General features: G+C 37.7%; 1 protein-coding gene and 1 pseudogene across 65 annotated transcripts in view; both read right to left on the bottom strand.

The window, feature by feature from the left end:
* The window catches only part of LTBP1 (latent transforming growth factor beta binding protein 1), a 452,557-nt gene that overhangs the window by 61,093 nt on the left and 369,197 nt on the right, over positions 1–22,267 (bottom strand). The gene's annotated exons all lie outside the window — the stretch shown is intronic.
* RNA5SP92 (RNA, 5S ribosomal pseudogene 92) lies at positions 5,410–5,519 on the bottom strand (annotated as a pseudogene).

The following is a 22,267-nucleotide window of genomic DNA, read 5'->3' as shown; positions in this document are numbered from 1 at the left end:
CAGATTCCTGAAGGAACATCCTTGCTTTCCTTTTTATTAATTCTATGCAATTATAGCAGATGATGATTTCTCGTTACTGTGCACAGGAACCAAATAATTGACCTGAAGGTGAACAAGCCCCAAGCTGGTTATGAATTACTGGGCGTCTTGCAGTCTCAGACTTACTGTAACAGTGATTAACCGAGAAAGTTTAGATGAGCAATATTTTGGATTTGAATGAATAGGAAAAAATAACGTGGAATGCCTGCTGGAAACTAGCTCTTCAGCAACTAATATTTTATAAAAATGATATAATGTAATTCTCAGCAGTTTCATGTTTTCAACAATGAGGTGAGGTAATAGCTTAATAAGAGGACATTTGTTTCACTTTAATGACCTCTACAAGAAAAAACATTATTTCATTAGAATTTTCTTTGATGATGTGAGCTCTCTGAGATATTTTTCCATTGTTAGTCCCGTATATACATACAATGAAAAGAACTGCTACAAATACGAGTAATTCTAGAGAAATAAAGCTAAATGTTAAGAAAATTTATTACATTAGAGTAGAAGTCCCAGCAAGACTAAACGAACAAGTGAAAGTCATCCTTTTTTGCTAAAGTTGAATTTGGAAGATGAAACTATATTTTGAATCATCCAAATATCATATGTTTTCACTTAATGAAGGGTGATTCTGTTAAAACTACCAAGCAATTTTGCTTAGTGATCTGTAAGGGCCATGCATGATATCATTGGTAATACTATCCAATGGGTTAGTGATTACAGGCGTGATTTGTCTAGTGATCAACTGTCAATTGTCAATCCAGAAAAATCAGGTGTGGTATTATAAAAGTTGCTGATTCATCACGCAAGTGTTGCTATTTACACTTTACTGAAGAAGGCAGATATAAATATTGATATTTCAATGGAAATAAAGTCAAGAAAGAATTATGCAAACCAAGGAGAATCGATCCCTGATGTGAATTTCCCAATAAAAAATTACATAAATGTCAGAAAGAAAAATAGAACATAGTTCTGGGTGACGGGAACTACCAGTGGCTCATTTAAAAAGTAGCAATGTTGTCAATGACTAATAGATCCACGCTTTTGAGGGTCTTTATTGATCTACTTGGCAGATCCATTTTCCTTGCCCAGATGCTTTTTACTTAAGACATTTTCTCAATGAACCAAAAGTTTTTAAAAACCTACTGACTGCATTCAGGGAGTCTACATACTAGAGTAGAACTCGAACCCATGCACTCCCGAATTCTCAAATAAAGGTGTAAGGCCAGACACCTGTGTCACCTTCTCATTTATGTAAAGTGAACTATGAAATAAATAACAAGTATGGAAAGAAGGCAGGGTTTTCTAAAAGAGGTTGGGGTCATGTAAATCTTGTTTAAGAACCAAAAAATTAAAATCGTTTTAATTTTAAGAACTCAACACAAAAATTCACAACAAATCTCAATGGTTCCATTAGGTGTCTTGTATTACATGCAGAAAAGTCTATGTGTATCTGTACATATTCTGAAAATGATGTATATTGGAAAGAAAGGGGTATTTGTGTCTATTTCATTAGTAAAATGATTTGGTGCTCTTTTTTCAGATATATTCTTCAGTTTTTGGTTTTACATTTTTAGGAAAGTGCTTCTTCTTAGTTTCTTAACATCTCCTTCTCTTATTTTGTTGACTTCCTTCTTCCTTATTCTGAGCAAAACGTACTCATCTATTAGGGGAAGCAGCTCACTAATGAGCTTTCCGTCTGCTGCCAGGACGCTCCAGAGAAGTGGATAGTGGGAATGGGGGTGTCATTTTTTGGTAATGGATAATTCATAGGAAAATCTCCAAAGCTACTGAGAGTTGTGAAGAAACGGGCTTCCTGTCTTAGAACATTTTTAGATGAATCATATGGTCCATTTTGACTTAACGGAAACCTGAAGATTATCCAGTTCAATCTCTTCATTTTAATAACCGGAAAACTGAGGGCTAGAAAGGGGAAGTGACTTGCCTCAAGGTTACATAGTCAGTTAGCGGGAGAGCTGGCAGAGGAACAGGGCCTGGTCACAGAAGAATCCTCTGAATCTGTCTGTGGTTCTAGCCATCACATTCTCTTACCTGTCACCATGATGATAGTTAAAAAAGGTTAGTCCTAGATGATGAAGAGAACTAACCAAACTGTGAGCCCAAAAAGCACACTGGAGTTTGCCCACTATGAAGATGGAGGTCAGAACACACCATCTGTTACTCTTTGACTCATCACCTACTGGCTTCCAGTTTTATCAAGTCTTCTTGTCCTTAAATAAGACTTAGGCATCTCTGTCCTTTAATACAAGAAATATCATCATACTTGAAATCTAGACACTAGAGCTACTGTGGGCCATGAAGAGGATATTTTTGTAGGAGACCCTTGGAAGAAAGCACATCAGGCACCCATGGTTGCAAGTCTCAGGAGGTCCCAGGACTTAGACAGGACCATGTCTAGCATCGGTGCTCCTGGAACTCTTCATAAGAAGAAAATGGCCCACTATTTTAGCTCAGAACTTCTTAACCAACTGAGATTGGTTAAGTATTTGGTGCCAGAATCTTAGGAAAACAGATCCAAAGAAAAGGGGCTTACAATGGAAATGCAGCCCTCACACTCCTTTCTGAAAGGAATGGAAGCCGGCTAGGAGAGAGTAAATCTCAGCCAACAAGTGGGAGTGAAAGATGTTAAACCAGCTGAATAGCTGCCCAAAAGAATTTTAAAATGGCATGGCTGCTGGCCCACAAGCGATTAAGGTCTCTCTCACAGCACAGGAGGGAAGCCAGCATTAAGCGGAAGATGAGCACAAGGCCTAAAGAAAGAAAATAAAATTTAGCCAATAGGAAATTAAAAACTGGATTGGGAGATGGTCCAGGCAATACAATAGGATATGGAAAGATCCTTTTAAAAAAGGTCCACTGAGGTCTGGCAACATCGACAAGGCTGGGGAATATAGCCCATATGTGTTATGGAAAATAACTTTGTTCTAGGAGATGGGAATAGGCCAGAAACAGCAGACGACATCCCTGGGCCGAGTCTGACTACCATGCTATCCCTTGACAGAGAAGGGCAGGAAAAAAACACGGGGACCTTGATGGTCACAAGTCTGTTTTGAAAGCTAGCAGCCTAAGATAAGCAATAAGAAATGACATAGGTAACAAATTATTTGAAATTCAACTTTCCCATAATTACCTTCTAGAAAAGAAGGCTGGCCAATGAGACATCTTTTTTTTTTTTTTTTCCCCAGCATGGAGATGTACTACTTTCAAAAAATTTACTTACTTACTTATTTATTTTAGAGACAGGGTCTCACTCTGTTGCCCACACTAGAGAGCAGTGCCATGCTCTCACTGTGAGAGAGAGTGCCATGGCTCTCACAGTGAGCCACAGCTCACTGCAGCCTCAACTTCCTAGGCTCAAGCAATCCTCCTACCTCAGCCTCTCAAATAGCTGGGACCACAGGTGTATGCTGCCATGCCTGGCATTTTTTTTTTTTTTTTTTAATTTTTAGTAGAGATGAGGTCTCATTATGTTGCCCAGGCTGATCTCAAACTCCTCGGCTCAAGTGATCCTCCCACCTCGGCCAACCAGTGCTGGGATTACAGATATGAGCCACCATGCCCAGCCTACTTAAATTATTCTGTAAAAATTACCCAGACAAGCCTCAATCCTATATTCCAGAGAAACTAAAACAACACTGCTCCATTTTTGTCAACCACTATGTAGACAACAGGTATTCACCATCTACAGTTAAAGATATCCTGTTGGAAACCATCCTAAAAATCACATATATCATCCTAGTTACCCAAAAATGTGGGAGTCATCCTTGATTACTGCTCCACATCCAGTCACCACATTCTTCTGATTTTATCTTTTGGTTGTATCTCCAGTCTCTCCTTTCCTCTCCAGCCTTATTCAAGGACACATTATCTTTCACTCGAATTCCTGCAATGGCTTCCAAACTGAGTTTTGTGCTTTCAGACACTCATTAAAGACCCCAAATTCATCTCCCACAATGACAGAATAATTTACCTAATGAAACAGTCCAATCAAATAGTTCTCTGCTTAAACCTCTTCAGTTTTCTTCCATGGGTAATGGCATAGAGGCCTTTGCCACGTGCTGTCTGCGCTTGTCCATGTGGCCTCTGCCCCTGCATCACCTTCTTTCCCTCTCTATTGGATCATTCCATATTTCTTACTCCTTTTTAACAGCCAAGGTTCTTGACTTATCTACGCATGCTGTGTTTACTCCATCAGTTCTCATTCATTCTTGAGTGGCTCCTGAATTCAAGATTCCACTGAAACAGCACCTGATAAGGTCACCATTTTGTAAAACCCAAAGGATTCTTCTTGTCCTCTTAGTAGAGCTCTCAGTTGTATTCAATGCGGTTGACCACTCTCTCCTTGAAGAACTCTTTTCCCTTGGATTCTACAGTACCATATCCTCTGTTTCCTCTTACTCCCTGGACTCCTCCTACAGGGTCTCTTTTACTTGACCCCTATATGTTGGCATTTCTCAGAGCTTAGTCCTAGACCTTCTTTTTTTCTCATTCTATGATCTCTCTTGGTGGTCTCATCCATTCTGATGGCTTCACATGCGGTCTAGATCTGATGACTTCCAGTTTTTATCTCCAGACTAGACTTCTCTTCTGAACATTAGAATTAACTTGATCCAATTCCCTATGGGACACACCCACATGGATATTTCACAGGCAACTCTAATTTAATATAACCAACTCACACTCTTGATCTTTACAAAAAAATTGCTTCGTTTTTTTACCATGTCAGCAAATAGTGTCACCAAATACCAACTTGCTAAAGCCAGGACCTATGACCCCTCTTCAACAGTTCTCCTCCATGTCCTACATCGGGTTCAACTCTATGTTCTAATCTAGCACTAGGCTCTATCTCCAGAGCATTTTTGGAGTCATTCATTTCTCTCCATCATGTTGCCACTGCTCTAGCCTGAGCTACCAATATGTGTGGCCTGAGCTATTATAACAATATCCTAGAAGATATCCTGAGTTTTCTCCTGCTCCTCTAACCCCATTGCCAAAAAGCAACCTGGAAAACAGAAACACTGTACTTAAAAAATATAAATTACTGAATTAAATCAAATAGAAGACTCCACTCATTAAAAAGAACAAAATTATTTTCTGAACCACTAAGAAAGAAAAAAAAAAACTCTACAAATTAACCTATTTTGCACTGCTTTTTAAAAATCACTTCAACTGTAGGAAGTGCCCCAGTATTAAAGGTGAAAAAATGTGCATCTTTTTAGAAAGATGAAATATAGTATATCATTGTCCTGCTCCGAATCTATCAGTCTATTTCAGTTACACTTAGAATAACACCCAAACTCTTTACATTTCCTGTGGGAAGTTGCAAATTCTGTACCTGCCTCCCTAGCTCTACCCTTGCTGAGCCTCTCTCTCCCATCCAAGTACTAATGAGGCCCGACCCTGCTCAGCTTTCAAGATCAGATGAGAGGTGTATTTACGGTGGGATTGCTGTAGACTACACCTCCTCTCTCAGAACCAGGCATGGCCTTTTCCACTCCCTTGAGTGCACCAAGTTCTCTGTCTCAGAGGCTTTGCCCTGAGCTCAGCTCAAATGCTGTTTCTTTAGAGAGATCCTTCAGTCAAAACAGTCTTCCCTCCTCCTCCCTCTCATTAATCCTATACAAAAAACGTTAGCTGGGCATGGTGGTGGGCGCCTGTAGTCCCAGCTACTTGGGAGGCTGAGGCAGGAGAATGGCGTGAACCCGGGAGGTGGAGCTTGCAGTGAGCCCAGATAGCACCACTGCACTCCAGCCTGGGCGACAGAGCAAGACTCCATATAAAAAAAAAAAATTAAATAAATAAAGTATATAATTTCATTTTTAAATGCTAAAAACTATTAAGAAATATGTCAAATATTAACATTAATTAACACTGGTTGATAAATGATTTTTTTCTTTATATTTCTCAGAATTTTCTAAATTTTCTATAATGAGAGTGTCTCTGTCTCTCTCTCTCTTTTTTTTTTTTTTTTTTTTTTTTTTGGAGATGGTGTCTCACTACATCAACCAGGCTGGCCTGGCCTCAAACTCCTAAGCTCAAATGATCCTCCCACCTCAGCCTCCCAAGTAGCTGTAACTACAGGTACCCACCACCACACCTGGCTTATGTTACTCTTAAAATCAGAAAAATCACATACTTGCAATCTACTATTTGAGGATACTTAAATAAGTATTTTAATTATTTTGCTTGTGTATAAATATATATTCCACCCTAACAGGAATAAACATTTGAGTGAAATACAACTGTACAAACAAAAATAAAATACCTATTCATAAATATTTTTAAAATATTGAAAACTTGCAACGTTTTATTTTTTCTGAATGAAAATAAAATCTTGTTTTAAGATGAAGTGTTTTGCTTGAAATTATATTATGTAAGATAAAATGCTACTGATAATTATTAATTAATAGTATACACATATTTAAGTTAGGAGGTCACTGCAATTCTCAACAATTGCAATTACAAACAAGCAAATAAAACCCAAAACTCTCAAAACAAAAAAATACACATAAAACCCTTTAAAATGCTTTTTAATCTAGCCGAGTTTTCTTACATACATGTAGTTTTCTTACATACTCCTCAGTCATTTATATAGTAAGCAGACAAAAAATCGGTAGGGATATAGATGATTTTAACAACACAACTTACAAACTGGCCCTAATTGACATATAGGTCCAGCCGCATAATATAAATTGTTTTCAAGCAGACAAGGACTATTTACTAAAATTGATAATATTCTGTGCCATAACAAATTTCAAGGATTGAAGTCATTTAGAGTATATTCTCTGGCCATAGTGGTTTTAAGGTAGAAACCAGTAACAAAAAGTTAACCAGAAAATACCCAAACATCTGGATATTAAGTGAAATACTTCTAAATAATTCATTGGTCAAAGGAAAAAAATGACAATGAACTTTAGAAATATTTTATGTAAATAACAAAATACAACATATCAAAACTTATGGATAGCAGATAAAGCCATTCTTAGAAAGAAATATATACCTATAAATACAAATATTAGAAGATTGATAATCTAATGATTTAAAGATCTACTTCAAGTAGTTAGAAATAAAGACAATTTAAACCCCAAAGTGTAAATATAAAAAATATAGAAAAAATAATAAATATAAAAGCAAAAATTAATAAAATAGAAAACAAAGGAAACAAATCCACATAAGTTGTTTCTTTGAAATGACTAATAACCCTAGGAAAACTGATCAAGAGCGAAACATAAGCACAAATTACTGAAATTTTAAAAAAGATCACTACATATATACAGAGAAGAGGATATTATAAATAATTTTGTGCAAATAAAAACGAAATTTTACCCAAATGGATAAATTCCTTGGAAAACAAAACTTACTGAAACTGACATGAAAAGTCAAAAGCCTGAATATTATTTTATCTATTAATGAAATCTTAACTGCAATTTAAAAATGTTTATAATGCATAGGCACAAAAACAAAAGGAAACAAAAACAAACATTCCAGGCACAAATGACTTTACCGGTGAATTCTTCAAGGATTTTTTTTTTTTTTTTTGAGACCATGATAGAGAAAACCTGAGTCCGGAAGAACAAAGCAAAAAAAAAAAGATATTGTCTGGGTCCCTGTATTATAGACCTGTATTATCAGCCCTAGATTACTGAAGCTTAGACTGCTATAAGGAAAACAAATTTTTATCTTGTTTTAAAATCCAGTCAATGTAATTCACCACATTAACAGAATAAAGAAGAAAATAATGTAATTATTTCAACAGATGCAGAAAAACCATCTGTTAAAATTCAAAACCAAGCATGATAAAGAACATTAGCAAACTAGATATATAAGGGAACTTCTTTATCTGATAAAGAATATCTATTAAGAAAAAAAAAACCTATGGCAAGCATCATATTAAATGTCTTTGCTGCTGATATCAGGAAAGAGACAAGCAAGCTGTCACCACTTCTAGTCAACATTGCAGTAGAGGTCCTAGACAGTACAGTAAGACATGAAAAGGAAATAAAAGTATGCTTACCAGAAGAGAAGGAATAAAACTAGCATTACTTATACAACATAATTGTATATGTGGGAGATGCAAAGAAATCTGCATATAAACTGCTAGAATTAACAAGCAGATTTAGCAAGGTCATGGATACAAGTTCAATGTACAAAAATCAAATTTAGCTCTATATACTGGTAACAAACAATTATAAGGGTAAAAAAATTTTAATACCATTCACAACCACATGCAAATCTTGAAGACCTAGGAATAAGTCTTAAATAAGCTGTGAAAGACTTTATACAAAAATCTCCAACAAAACACTAAGACAAATGAAGGAAACCCTAATAAAGGGGTGTGTTGTATTCACAGATTAGATGACTAAATACTGTAAAATGCCAAACCTCCCCAAATTGATCTATTGATTCAACTCAATTCCAATCAAAATCCCAGCAGAGTTTTGTAAAAATTGATCACCTGATTATAAAATTTATATAGAAATGCAAAGGGCCAAGAATAGCTGTGACAATCTCAAGAACAGAATTGAAGAAGTTAGAACTGACAGCAGAAAACATTAAAATTTATTATAAAGCTACTGTAACTAGGACAATGTACAAATGGTACAAAGACAGATAAACCTATTAAATAATATGAATAATGCAGAAATATATTCATATATATCTGACTCTATGGTTAATAAAAAAAATTCATATTAGTGGGAAAAAGGCACTCTTTTCAATAAACAGTGATGACCTAATTTGATGTCCATTTAGGAAATGAAGAAATCTTGACCCCTATTTCTCACCATATGCAAAAAAACTTCAGGGGCCTTACAAATCCAAATTTAAAATGTGAAACAATAAAGCTATCAGAAGACAACATAACAGTACCTTAATGACTTTAGGGTTTGCAAAGATTCTGGACATAAAAAATACTGATCTGAAATAAAACAATTAAAACACTGGACTTCATTAAAATTAACAACTTGAGTTCACCTGAAGTTGCCATTAAAATAGTTGTTTTGAGCACTTCATTTGGAAGAAGTTTCTTATGCAGAATTAGATAACAGAAACAATATCCAAAGGGCCAATAAAGGTATGATAAGTTGTTAAAGATATATCTTCACAAGGGAAACACAAATTGAGACCATAATGAGATACCTTTACTCAGTATGGCTAAACCTTAAGAGGAATGACAATACCAATTATTGATGATAATGTGGATCTGAGACTCTTAACCCTTTGCTGGTAGCAGTGTAAACTGGTACTCTGAAAAACTGGCTATATATATGTGAGTGAAACATACATACATTTTATGACCCAGAAATTATACTTCTTAGTGATATCCAACAGAAATTAGTGATTATGCCCATGAAAAGTCATGTTCAAGAATATTCACAGGAAGTTTATTCACAACAGCCTCACATAGGAAGCATGCCAAATGACCATCAACAGTAGAATGGATACATAATGTAGTATACAATGAAATACTATATAGCAATGAAAATAAATGGACTACTACACATGACAAGACAGACGAAGCTTACAAATGCAATGTTGAATAAAAGAAGCCAGACACAAAGGAGTACATATTATGATTACATGTAGCTAATGTTCAAAAGCAGGTGATATGGTTTGGCTGTGTCCCCACCCAAAATCTTACCTTGAATTGTAATCCCCATAATCCCCATGTGTCAAGGGCAGAACTAGGTGGAGGCAAGTGGATCATGGGAGCGGTTTCTCCAATGCTGTTCTCATGATAGTGAGTAAGTCTCATGAGACCTGATGATTTTTTAAGTGTCTGGCATTTTCCCTGCTTGCGCTCACTCCATCCTGCCGCCCTGTGAAGAAGGTACCTGCTCTTCCTTTGCCTTCCACCATGACTGTAAGTTTCCTGAGGCCTCCCCAGCAATGAACTGTGAATTAATTAAACCTCTTTCCTTTATAAATTACTCAGTCTTGGGTATTTCTTCCTAGCAGTGTTCTAGCAGAGAACAGACTAATACACCAGGCAGAACGAATCTACAATAATGAAGTCAGGATAGTGGTAAGTGCTATGTATGAGTATTGGATATGAGGGTGGGGAATAATCACGAGGAAGTTTGAGGGAGGTTCAGGGGGCTGGTTACCAGGTATGCTCACTATAAATGCTTGTCAAGTGGTGGCCTTATGATTTAGGCACTTTTCTACATGCATTTTATTTTTATTTTATTTATTTATTTATTTATTTATTTATTTATTGAGACAGAGTCTCACTCTTGTTGTCCAAGCTAGAGTGCAGTGGCGTGATCTCGGCTCACTGCAACCTTCACCTTCCGGTTTCAAGCAATTCTCCTGCCTCAGCCTCCCAAGTAGCTGAGATTACAGGCGTGTGCCATCATGCCTGGCTAATTTTTGTATTTTTAGTAGAGATGGGTTTTACCATGTTGGTCAGGGTGGTCTCGAACTGCTGACCTCGGATCCACCCACCTCAGCCTCCCAAAGTGCTGGGATTACAGGCGTGAGTCACTGCACCCGGCCCTCTACATGCATTTTAAACACCAACTTGAATGTTTACTGAAAAAAAAAGAGATAATCCACACTGCTGCATTTCCTGGTTAGAGACTCTCTTACCATTTCAAAAGCTAACTTTGCTTTTCTATTTCCCATGGGTTACAGGTATTGTGGCATATATATTAGACTGAAATATTAAGGCACTCTGAGTAGTCATCTTGACCACCACTTCCTATCTGCTTATTGGAAGACATTCTAATACCCTATAACTTATTTTTCTCCAACTGCAAAATGAAGTCAAGCTACTTTTTTTAAAATAGGAATATAAGCAAAAATAAGAAACATATGTAATTTACTATATCTTTCCTTAAAAACTCAACTCCATTTGTACATGACCCACTCTATGTCATGGGAGTTATTTGAATCCTCTGTCTTCAGTATTCTATTGTTCTTTAGTCTTGTAGAAGGTGATGGAGAATTATTATGTCATTAAAAAAAATCGTTTTCTTAGAAGTATAACAGCATTGTTATATATTCAGAAGAGAATGCAATCCTAGTAATAATTCTAAGACATCAGGCTTTGGAATTATGAATGTTTTAAAAAATGATAGAAGACGGAAGTAAGACCTATTTCATGTTCAAAAGATAGGTCATAGTTTACTGTAAAGCATTCATAAGGAGACACTGGGTCTGGATCAGTCCAGGTCTCCAGGGTCCTCACTGGACTCACCCCCTTCCCAGAGTCTATCTGAACCACTGAGAGTGGGCTCCAAGGCCTGGTTCCTTTCCCCACTCCACATGTCCTTTCAAACGTTTAAAAATAAACAGCAAATGGTTTTTTACAGAGGAGTAAAATCTAAAATGCATTTTTAAACATCTTGATTTTTTTGAACAGCCAAGAGTCCTAAGAATTATTAAAGTATTTAAATTATATCAGCCAGGTGCAATGGCTCATGTCTGTAATCCTAGCACTTTGGGAGACTGACGTGGTTAGGAGTTTGAGACCAGCCTGGCCAACATGGTGAAAGAAACCCTTCCCTACTAAGAAAATACAAAAGTTAGCCAGGTGTGGTGGCACGTGCCTGTAATCCCAGCTACTGGGGAGGCTGAGGCAGGAGAATCGCTTGAACCCAGGAGGCGGAGGCGGCAATGACCTGAGATTGCACCACTGCACTCCAGCCTGAGTAACAGAGCGAGATTCGGCCTCCAAAAAATAAATAAATAAATAAATAAATAAATAAATTATATCCCTCATTCTCATTTTCAGTAGGCTTTGAAGACAAAAAAGCAGGGTAAATGTATAGAAGATTCTCTCTTTATCATCCCAAATAAGGTCAAGAATGAATATCCTCATGACTGAAGTCAGTTTAGATTGTTTTTTTTTTAATCCAATAAAAGTATGCCAGCATTTACATTTCGAACTGTATCAACAAGCTCATTCAGTGAATGACCAGGAAAATGGGGAAAGTGGTTTGTTTCAAACAGTTTTCCTCATTGAGGGAGCTCACAAAGCTCAGGTTTTGTATCTGGAAAGGACATTTATGTCATTAACAGCTTTGCAAACACGCAGTTTGTGCTGGGCATGTATCTTCCCCACTCCATGAATGGAGAAACGGGGTGGAGTTGAGAGGTGCTGCGTGAGAAAGCCATTGTGTGTGCCAGATGTTTGTTCAATTATAATAAAACCTTGATATTATACATGAAAATTCAAAACTGAGTATCTGGGACATTTTAAAGCAATATTCTGAATTAGACTGAAAAGTAGTATATATTTAATGAAACACAAAACACTGTTTTTTTTTTTAACAAAAGCAAAAACTATAAACACTATAAGTCATCTGTGATTCTTTACAGAAAAAGAGAACCAAAGTATATTTCTAAATTTAAAGACATTTTCTTCCTATTTCTTTCTACCATGGGCTGACAGTGTTATAAAACAGAAAAAGTGTATGAGGAAGGTTTGAATTTGTTATAGAAAAGAAATACTTCTAAAATTTTTAAAGGAAAAAAAGAAGAAAGCCCCCAAAATCCACCTTTCTACACCTGTAGGTAAAGAATTACAGTTTACTATGAAATAAGGAACAATGTCAAAAAAGTGGAGTGTTTTAGCTCCATTATAAATAAATTCCACGATGTTCAGAAACAGTTCTTTAGGTATTAAGGGAAAATCTTAACTTCATTTGTAAATTTCTTCCAATTACTCACAAAAGATAAATGTGAAATATACATTTTGTTTTACACTGTTCTAAGTTTTTAAAAGGCTCTATTACTTTGTCTTTACATAATTATATATAACCACTGGATAGTCTCGGAATTAATGTAATAGTTTTACGTATTTATATCTGGGATTAAGAAAAATAAATGTCTTCTAAATTTAGATCCATGCTGTACGCTTTCTCTTTTCATACAGCTTTTCTTACACTAAAAGGTGCTGCCAGTGAGGACTGGGAGAAAGCCCTACAGACAGGCCAAACATATCAAACCCCAGATTCATCTTTTTGACACTTAGGCCTCAGAGGCAACATAAAATCAGCCAAAAAATTCTCACTTTTTTCTATATTTTCTAATTTTTCTCTTTCTATATTCAAATAGGAGGCCAAGAAAGATCAGTTATAAAACCACAGAAAATAGACAGTGTACCTCTAGAAATAAGAGCTCCAATGCTCAAATGCAAACAAGCATCAGTGCTGGCTGTCAGCTTACTAGCCCTTGATACAGGGAATGACTTAAAGCTGGAACTACTTTGTGGGTGAATGGAAAAGAGTCATATGAAACTCTCAGGGAAAACAAAGGGTGAAGAATTAAAGCAAATTATATATAAATGAATTACTACACTATATTCTATATGATTTAAAATAAATATGGGGTTTAAAAATAGAGGCCAGGTGCGGTGGCTCACGCCTGTAATCTCAGCACTTTGGGAGGCCGAGGTGGGTGGATTACAAGGTCAGAAGATAGAGACCATCCCGGCTAACAGAGTGAAACCCTGTCTCTACTAAAAACAAACAAACAAAATTAGTCGGGTGTGGTGGCACATGCCTGTAGTCCCAGCTACTCAGGAGGGTGAGGCAGGAGAATCACTTGAACCCAGGAAGCGGAGGTTGCAGTGAGCCGAGATCACGCTACTGCACTCCAGCCTGGGTGACAGAAGGAGACTCCGTCTCAAAAAAAAAAAAAAAAAAAAGATAGAATACAGTAATTCATCAATATCAGGACATGAACTTGGAAATACCATACAATTTCATTCACAAGTATGTATTTAATCTGCATGTTATATATGTTGTAAGCATTGACAATATAAAAATAAAATAGTTGTTAAATGTTTCCCTCCTTTTAGATGCTCACATAATAAGGAAACCAATGACAATGCAATCATTCCTTTTCATTGGTGGAGGATGTGTTCCAAAATCCCCCGTGGGTGCCTGGAACCACAAATAGTACTGAACCATATATATATACTGTGTTTTTTTCCATATATATACATACATACATACATACATACATACCTATGATAAAGTTTAATTTATAAATTAGGCACAGTAAGAATTAATAGTAATAATATACTGTGATTATATTATAATTAAAATTATAACAATTATAACAATTGTTATAACAATTATAACAATATACTGTAACAAAAGTTATGTGATTGTAGTCTCTCTCAAAATACTATAATATTTGTAGGCTGTGGTTGACCATGGTAACTAAAACCACATGAAGTAAAACTGCAGATAAGGAAGGACTGCTGTAACTAAGGTACCAGTATAAGAAATGCTAAAATAGTAACAATAGCTCACATTCATTGAGTATGTTCTATGGGCTACTCCATTCTCGGCGGATACTTGCCAACACACATCAACTCCATGTAGGTGCTATTATTATTCTTACTATACAGAGAGGGAACTGAAGCACTCACCAAGTTCACACAGCTTAGAAGTGCTGGAACAAGAGTTCAAGCCCATGTAGCCAAACTCACCAGCATAACTTCTTAGCCACTACTACACCCAGTAGTTATGCAGGGTGTGCATTAGAGAATTAAGTCTTCAAAAAATAGGGAAGGCTTCACAGAAGTGTACATCACATTCAGTTTGGAGTAATCTTATTAAGAATGTTTCCTAGTACTCCAGGATGAGCTACAGACTGTCCCTTCCTCCCTTGATTCATTTGCCAAATGCGTATTGTGCCCCAACTAATTACAGATGGTCTCCAAATTAGGATAGTTCCACTTATGATTTTTTGTTTGTTTGTTTGTTTTGAGACGGAGTCTTGCTCTGTCACCCAGGCTGAAATGCAATGGTGTGATCTCAGCTCACTCGCCTCCCAGGCTCATGCGATTCTCCTTCCTCAGCCTCGCAAGTAGCTGGACTATAGGTGTGTGCCACCACATCTGGGTAATTTTTTGCATTTTTAGTAGAGATGGGGTTTCATCATGTTGGCCATGCTGGTCTCGAACTCCTGACTTCAGGTGATCTGCCTGTTTCGGCCTCCCAAAGTGCTGGGATTACAGGTGTGAGCTACCGCGCCTAGTCGATTTTTTTACTTTATGAAGGTACAGGAGCAATATGCATTCAGTAGAAACTGTACTTCGAGTTCCCATATAACCATTCTGTTCACTTTCAGTACAATAAATTACATGAGATATTCAACACTTTATTATAAAATCGGGTTTTTTTTGTACTAGATGGTTTTGCCTAACTATAGGCTAGTGTAAGTGTTCTGAGCACGTTTAGAATGTGCTAGAAGCAGGCTAGGCTAAGCTATAATGTTCGGTAGGTTAGGTGTATTTGATGCATTTTTGACTTTCCATTTATGAGGACATAACCCTATCATAAATTGAGTAGCATCTGTATTCCCAATGGCATACAGAGCTGTAAAAAATACAGAAAACAATCCCGATCTCACTGGCCTTAAAGTCTAGCAATGGAGTGTGACAAAGAACAATAAACAAGGTAAAGAAGTAGAATAAGGTGGTAAAGAAATAAAAAAAGCAAAAGGAAAAAAGAACAGGAAGTGAATTAATTCATTCATTACACGGTGAGTGAATCTGAGAAAGAACGGTCAGAAACCGGTTCACTAAGGAAACAGCATTTAAATACGGACCTACAGGAGGCAAGAGGTAACAATCTTGTACTATACTTCTCATTCGTATAATAAATGCCCTCATTCTAAGCTGTTTGTTGCAGCCAAAATTAAACCAATTAATACTTAACCTACTTACAGATTTATTGTGAAGATTAAATGAGAAGACAGGTGCAATGCACTTAGCATAGTGCCTGGCTTGTAATAAGAACTCAGTGAATGCTATTATACATTATTCTTGCTACTGTTTTAATAAAATCATGCAATCAGATATATAATGTATCTCCAGTCCACTCATAGTGGGAGACCAAGATAGTTGCTTAATATTCTATCACATGTCTAAAAAGTAACTGTTTCTGGAATATGTGTATGAAGCATTACAGTTTAGGTCTCAAGTACAAAAACACTGCTTACAATAACCTTCCATGATCTAAAAAGGACTCGGGTTGTTGACATCAAAGGAGTCAGATGTAGGACGCCCAGCACCAGAGCATGAGTGGATGTCAGCATACGGTATGCAAGGTCAGCTAGCCTAGTCACAGACTTCACTTTCTGGCAGTCTTCTGCCTATTTTTTGGCTGCAAGGCAAGTGTTTACTTCTCCTTCTATGAACAGATGATTTCCATAGCTCTGGGGTTTGAAAAGGTCAGCAGTGATAAAAAAAAAAAAAGGCTTAGGAAGAGATCTCAAATTTTTTGCTACTATTATGAATTTCTTTATACAAATGTTGATATATGGAAGACAATCAAGCAATGCATGGAAAATCTGCATTTCAAGTCCAAAAGCAACTCATTCCAGAAAAATTTCCTCAGCTTTCTCCCTAATGATTTAAACATTCATTTTCACTCACTTCTGCAGAAGTACATTCACAGGAAGAGTGAGTGTGAACAGTAGCTTTTATAGCTGGAAGCCACTTTCTTTCTTTACCTAGAATGTTGTATGATCCTTTTTCTTTTTACACATGGAAGAGAGTGGATTCTGTTGTTAAAATTCTCTCTACTAAGAAATACTAAAATCATCATCTCTTAGTACAGTTTTCAGTTTCAGACCCGAAAACTCTTAAAAACCTGAAAATCTTGGGCTAAGCACACCACATGTAACACATTACTGCATCAGAGTTCTTCAGCATCCCACTTGGCTGAGTCATTTTCAAAAGCATTTTCTATTTGGTGACAGATATAAAGTTCTATATCCATGCCACAAAACCACCAACTGCCTTGGGGCACTGTCCACGGCTTTATGCTTTCATTCTCCCCCGTTCATAGAAAATGTACCTAGAAGTGTGAAAACAAACCCCACGTCTGCTCCCAATTTGTTACTTTTTTGATTTGGCAATGTTGTCTTTCTTGTGTTTTCTGGTTCCCAATGAATACAAAATTAGCCTGAGAGTTTGAATCCACCTTCTCTCGGTTGTGATATCACTACTTTCAGTACACGTCAACGCATTGGCAATTTTTACCGGTTTCCATTTCAGATGAATGTGTAAGCAAGGAGTGATTTATAGTAAATACCTAAGAAGGTTATGGGGTTAGAGTCTCTATAGATGTTTAGCAATAGGACTTGATTCCTGAATACTTTGGGTATACTGTGGGAGTCAGAGTTCAGGCTAGATGTGACAAGAAGCCCTCTTCCAGTCTTGCAGTGCTCAATTTTTCAATCAAATAGTAGAATCATTTTTGAAAACTAGGAGGAGAAGCTGCTGATCCCATACTCAGTCCAGGGTATTATTTTGAAAAGTGAGAAATAATATCACCATCATCATCCAAGAGAAGAAAATACAGGAGTGGAATATAGAATTATTAATAAAATGAAAGGTTTTCATTTTTCCTTTCCAATAAAAAAAAGGTAATGCCAAAAATATGTCTGAGTTTTCAAAAAGACTTTAAGAGCAGTTTTAGGTTCCCAATAAGATTACACAGAGAGTTTTCATTTATATCCTGTCTTCCTCACACCAGCCCCCAGCATCTACCACTGCCAGTCTCCTGCACCAGACTGGTACATACAGTTGTTATGACTGATGAACTCTTACATCATTATCATCCAAAGTCCATAGTTTACATCAAGTGTTTACAACTCTTGGCGTTGTACTTTATCTGATTTTCTATTCTTGTCTGGACAATAGAATTCATGTTGACAGCTGCAAGAAAGTCCTCGGCTGCCATCTCATGCTCCCTTACCTATTTATTGATGGGCTTTTATCACTTCGCCAGTAGAAGACCAGTTTGAACATGACAGGCACTTCATATGGCTTCATTTCTTCACTCAGAAAATTTCAGTATTTCTTTCACTTACAGAAGCAGAAAAGCCGATTCTGACCACCCCAGTTAGCATCAAAGCAGCTTTCCACTTCTTTCTCTACCCTTCAGGTCCCCCATATTGTGCTCTACCTTTTCTTTTTTTTTTTTTTTCACAGAGTTTATCACGCTTTTTTTTCTTTTTGAGGCAGTCTTGCTCTGTCACCAGGGTGGAGTGCAGTGGTGTGACCTTGGCTCACTGCAACTTCCAGTTCCCATGTTCAAGCAATTCACGTGCATCAGCTTCCTGAGTAGCTGGAATTACAGGTGTGCACGGCCACAACCAGCTAATTTTTGTATTTTTAGTAGAGACAGGGTTTCACCATGTTGGCCAAGCTGGCCTCGAACTCCTGACCTCAAGTGATCCACCCGCCTCAGCCTCCCAAAGTGCTTGGGATCACAGGTGTGAGCTACCATGCCCAGCCTTTATCACACTTTCTAACATCTTAGTTATCTATTAGTTATTGCCTCTAAGTAAGTGGGGATCTTTTGCTGTTCTTCACTGACAAGGCCCCAGTACCTAGAACAGTGGATGGCACACAGGTAGACACTTAATAAATATCTGTCAAACGAAGGAATGAATGAGGATGCTTTCTAAAAGACAATACTTCAGGGAGTGATTTTGGCCATGGTTTGGAGGCCTAATTAGCCATGACTAACCAAGCCTGGCCAACACCAGAGGGAAAAGTGCCAGGTCCTATAAGCTGCTGGTGCTCCCTCTGTGTGGCTGGGCTCCTTGGGGTCCCTGCTAGATGAACATGGCCGCTGTATCATGTGAACAGGATAGAGTGCACAGGGAGCCTAGAGATGGGGGGTGTGCCGGACTCCACGGCAGTCACACAAGCCCTTGCTCAGCCTGGGCACACGACTGGGAGAGCGCAGTTGTTCCTGGCCAAGTGCAGCAAGGAAGGAGGCATGGAAAAGAGGTGACACAAAGTCAGAGATCAGGAGGTTTTTCCCCATGGGCCATGGGGACAGACGTGGTGACCCCTAGGAATCTGATTACCATTAAGTTTCCCTAATTTTCTCCCACACACATTCTACTGATGATGAAGAGACCGAATCTCAAATCAGCTTATGAATGCAATGATAAGGATTTTTTTTTTTCTTTTGAGATGTAGTTTCACTCTTGTTGCCCAGGCTGGAGTGCAATGGCGCAATCTCGGCTCACTACAACCTCTGCCTCCTGGGTACAAGTGATTCTCCTGCCACAGCCTCATGAGTAGCTGGGATGACAGGTGCCTGCCACCACACCCAGCTAATTTTTGTATTTTTAGTAGAGACGGGGTTCCACCATGTTGGCCAGGCTGGTCTCGAACTCCTGACCTCAGGTGATCCACCTGCCTTGGCCTCCCAAAGTGCTGGGATTACAGGCGTGAACCACTGTGCCTGGTCAGATTTTTTGTTTTAAGAGACAGGGTCTGGTTCTGTCACGCAGGCTGGAGTACAGTGGTGCAACCATAGCTCACTGCAGCCTTGAACTCCTGGGCTCAAGCGATCCTTCCGTCTCAGTCCCCTGAGTAGCTGGGACTATAGACATGAGCTACCATGTCCAGCTAATTAAAAAAAATTTTTCTTTGTAGAGACAGAGTCTTGCTATGTTGCCCAGGCTTGATGATGAGTATTTTTCATGTGAATTAAAATTCCACAATAAAAAAGGGCAGAAATAAAAAGGCAAAAGAATTATGATTTTTTGCTAAACAAATGGATATGATCAAATGGACCATAAAACAACGAGTTGAGTGAAAGAAAAAGTTTCCTTTGTTTTAATACACAAGATAAAAGCTCTGGCTATAGCGTGAAAGGAAGGTGGCAGGAGGAGATGAACTATAACTGAGAGAGGAAAGGGAAGTGTAGCAGAAGTCAATCAGAAGAGTCCTGTTCCCCTGCAATTTCCTGACATCTAAGTCTGGGATTTGAAAAAAATATCCTGTGTATTATATTATATATGACACGTTACACTCTGCACTTATTTATATCCAGAAAGGGTAACTATGCTGTGTTATAAACACTTAATGTATCCTACACATACCATTGGCTTCTTTATCCCCAATTCCCCTAGTGGAATGTCGGCTTCATGGAGGCAAGAATTGTATGTTTTACCCTTGGAACAAGGCCTGGAACCAGATAGGAACTCAGTAAATACCGGTTACGTGAGTGAATAAATGACAAATAGCTGCCCACCCACCACCTACTTCCCACTTCACTTGAACTGTGAATTACACCATTCTTTACCTTACATGGGAGAACCACGGTGTTTCTCCTTCCTCTCCCAGCTATCTATCCCAGAGTACCATATACAGGTTGAGTATCCCTTACCCAAAATGCTTAGGGCTAGAAGTATTTCAGATTTGGGATTTTTTTTGGGGGGTGGTGGTAATTTTGGAATGTGTACATTATTCTTACCTGTTGAGCATCCCTAATCCAAAAATCTAAAATCTGCAATGCTCAATGAGCATTTCCTTTGAGCATCACATCTGCACTCATAAAGTTTTAGAATGTGGAGTGCTTTAGATTTTGGATTTACAGATGAGGAATACTCAATCTATACATGTAAGAGAAAGGAAGGAGCCAGTGGTGCCATTTTTATTGCTATAGAAGCTGCCATGCTACACTTAAAGACAATTCATGTTGACAGAGTTTGCCTCTTCATTGTGGTTCATTAACTACGACCAGATGCTGACACTTCTCCAAGTCACGGGAAATCAGGGAAGGGCCCTCCTTCCTTCAGCTATGTGGGAGTTATTTAGCCCTGCTTAGAGCCGGGCAGGTCAGCCCTGGTGTCAACGAGGCTTCAGCTCCTCAAACAGAAGCTCAGAAGAAAATCAGTAAATGGACATGAGATAAGAATGCCAGCCACTTCTCAGTGTTAATTCAAGTACTATGTACAACTGCTCCATTGCTAAATTTCAATCACACATCAGCCTCACTGCTGAATACTGATCACATGAGCTGGCTTTGTCCTGCAGCACAGCCAGAGGTAGAAATCAGGACATAGCACTACTGCCATAAGTGTCAGACTGAGTCTAACAAAGGGAAATTTGGACCAATTTAGAATATTGGATTAAGCCCATAAAAAATAAAATTCATGCAGAACTTACTCCAGAAAGAGAATAACATGCATAATAATTACGGAGAGTTCTAGTTATACTACCATGTATAATACCAACATAATATTCTAACTTGTATTTCATTACTTATAAAATTGTCCAGGTTCTGGAGTCAAGGCAGTACAGACCAGGTGTCACAAAGAGTATACTCAATGAGTACAGTAATTTATAAAGCATTACAAGTTTCCTAAAACCACATTTTTAAATTCAAGTCTTTGCCAAGTAAATGACCAACAAAATTAGAGCTGCAACTAAATTACAGTGATTATGCAACTCTCAAGTTGCAGAAATCTGTGTTAAAAAAGTACAGAATTAAATCATTAGTAAGTGCAAAAGACAAAATAATTGTGAATATATTTATGTTTAGTATATTCTTTTGGAACAACAGCTTTGACTAGGGAGCACTTGAGGTCACTTATTTTTTTTTCTGAATATAATTTTGCATGGCACAACCATCAGTAGTTATACCACAGACCATTTCTTAGGAAGCAAGCCTTTACCATCCATGATTTAGAGCTAAGCAAAGAAGCAAACCTGCATCCTTCTAGAGCTTAGGAATTCTGCAAATCTGTTTCCTCAGTGACTCGGATGGGCTTGCACCCTATCCCTCAAGCTGAGGAATACTGTAATCTCTGCAGAAGAATGTATGCATTCATGGAGTGTCTTTGCTAAAAGCTCTGGTCTCAAAGCCCCAAATATAAAATTTACATAAAACTTGAACCACTGAAGCAGGGATTTCTTCTAAATCTCTCATCACCCACATTATTATGATGCTTTCTTCCATTTCCCAACTTCCTATCCCTTCCAAACCCCTCAATCTGTTTGCTCAATCCACCCTGAACTCTCTCTCTCCCAGTTCTAGTCAAATCTGGCATCCATGTTTTGTCTGCTCAGCAGGAGAGTAATTTCAACAATCTTCTGCTCTTTACAAGATCAGTTTATTCCTCCCAATATAATAATTAGTTTCAGATGAACCTGGTTGCTGGCACACGGCTTGGTTCCATTCTGGTACTAGCAAGGAGAGCAGATACTTCCTGTTGCACTATTTTTTAGAGCAAAGAATCTGGGCACTATGTTAGACCCAGAACAAAACTTTTGCAATTTACTTCTTTAAAATATAGCTGAGTTTCAATAATCTAGATTCTCAAAAGAGATCAACTGAAATTATGATTATGGGAATCTTTTCAGTTTACTTTTAAAATGGTTCAGGTAAATTATCATCAAGAACACAAATCTTATGAAAATAACCAG

Source organism: Homo sapiens, chromosome 2 (assembly GCF_000001405.40).
Source record: "Homo sapiens chromosome 2, GRCh38.p14 Primary Assembly".
Classification (NCBI taxonomy): Eukaryota; Metazoa; Chordata; class Mammalia; order Primates; family Hominidae; genus Homo; species Homo sapiens.
This window is presented reverse-complemented; position numbering and strand designations above follow the sequence as displayed.